General features: G+C 45.5%; 1 annotated feature.

Annotated features, from left to right (window-relative positions):
- Window positions 383–1,582: an enhancer, noted in NCBI's record as "P300/CBP strongly-dependent group 1 enhancer chr7:68466879-68468078 (GRCh37/hg19 assembly coordinates)". NCBI's record gives its function as "activates an origin of replication core promoter dependent on BRD2, BRD4, P300/CBP, MED14 and CDK7 cofactors, with strong dependence on P300/CBP, by STARR-seq in HCT116 cells {active_cell/tissue: HCT116}" and the evidence as "EXISTENCE:reporter gene assay evidence [ECO:0000049][PMID:35650434]".

Here is a 1,822-nt window from a genome sequence, read left to right on the forward strand (position 1 = left end):
GAGAATAGAGGCCCTTCTCATCCTCCTAACTTAGTGGCCTTTCATTAGTTTTACAAGGGCAGTTTAGTTTAGGGGAAGGGCTATTTTATAAACTATAAACTAAATTTACCACAAAGTTAGCTTGGCCCATGCCCAGGAATGAGGAAACATAGCCAACATGTGAGACTAGAAGCAAGATGAAGTCAGCCATGTCAGATTTCACTTACTGTCATAATTTTGCAAAGATGGTTTCATACCTTCACATCCCCAGCATATCCCTTGGGTCTCCCTCTTACTGCCCCCAGTTCCCACCCACTCTACCATTAGTCTGCACCCCCACCACCCTGAGTATCTTCCTCTACCTCTCAAAGTGCTGGGCTCCTCATTCTATCCTCCAGCCTCCGTCCTCTCCATTTACCCTGCCCCAGCCTGTGATACTGTGTTATAATCAAAAATAGATATTTGGTCTTTGTCTCTGGTTCTTGGCACAGATCTTCTAAAACCCTTAGAATTTTCTGAGTGATGAAGGTGGGAGGAGCATCTTTTGTTATTCTTAGCAAGTTCTTTAGTCATACCTGAGTTTCTGCTAATGAGGTGACTGTCAGATGATGGGAGCTGGTTGTCAGAGAAACCACCTATGTAATTAGAAGATTGGAACTTTTAGCCCCACTCTCCCATATTCCCCCAAATCATCAATAACTTGTTATTGGAAGTGGAGAGTGGATGGAGATTGAGTTCAATCACCAATGGCCAATGACTTCAGCAATCATGCCCACATAATGAAACTGTAACAGGACCACCAGATTCGTATGCACACTGCACAGTAACAGACCAATACACTGAGACAACAGGGTTTGCAGCAGAGAAACAGTCTAATGATCACAGGGAAGCCAAATGAGGAGACAGGAGGAACGCTCAAAACCATCTCTCCAAGGAGTTCTGGGCTGGGAATTTTGAGGGGACCATGGCAGGCAAGGGACTGGAAAATTGGGATCATTGACTGGTTGAGGAAAGGGGGATGAAATCATCAGGAAGTGGAAACTGCATTCTTTGGTGAGTCAGCTCCTTGTGGGATCCTTCAGACCAGCTGATGTCAGTAGTTTCATTGGTATGCAAGACCTGAAAGAATATCTCAAAGAGAAAATGCAGTGTTTCAGAATACTTAAGTTGTTATCTATAGAGCTGTTAAGAGGACAGGGTCTGTGTGATTCTGGGGCAAGAGTCACCAAGCAACTATGAGGAAGCAGGTCAGAGAGCAAGGTGACCTAATGTGTAGGGATGGTTTCAGAACTTCCATAAAAAACCCCAATGAACAGGATTCAGGGAGCTTCTGGGCTGGTGAACTCATTGTGGTGCTGGGAGGGTGGTGTGCCCAGAGAGGGTATCGAAGCTCTGCAAACCTTCCCCACACCTTCCTCTATGCACGACTGCATCTGCCTGTTTATTGATATCCTTTATAATAAACCATTATATGTAAGCAAAGTGTTTTCCTGAGGTCTGTGAGCCTTTATAGCAAAGTATCAAAACTGAGGAGAGGGCTGTAGGAGCCCTGATTTGTAGCCAGGTCAGACTGGAAACCCATTACTTACCATTGGCATCTGAAGTAGGGGCAATCTTGTGGGACTGAGCCCTTAACCTGTGGGGTCTGCACTAACTAAAGGTAGTTAGTGTCAGAATTAAATTAACTGTAGGATACCAGTTGGTGTCTGGAGAGTTGGAGGCTTAGCTAGTACGGGAGGGAAAATCTACACATTTGGTGTCAGATGTATGTGCAGGCATGGTGGCTGATGCCTGTAATCCCAGCACTTTGGGAGGTCAAGGCAGGTGGATCACCTGAGGCCAG

Source organism: Homo sapiens, chromosome 7, assembly GCF_000001405.40.
Source record: "Homo sapiens chromosome 7, GRCh38.p14 Primary Assembly".
Lineage (NCBI taxonomy): Eukaryota > Metazoa > Chordata > Mammalia > Primates > Hominidae > Homo > Homo sapiens.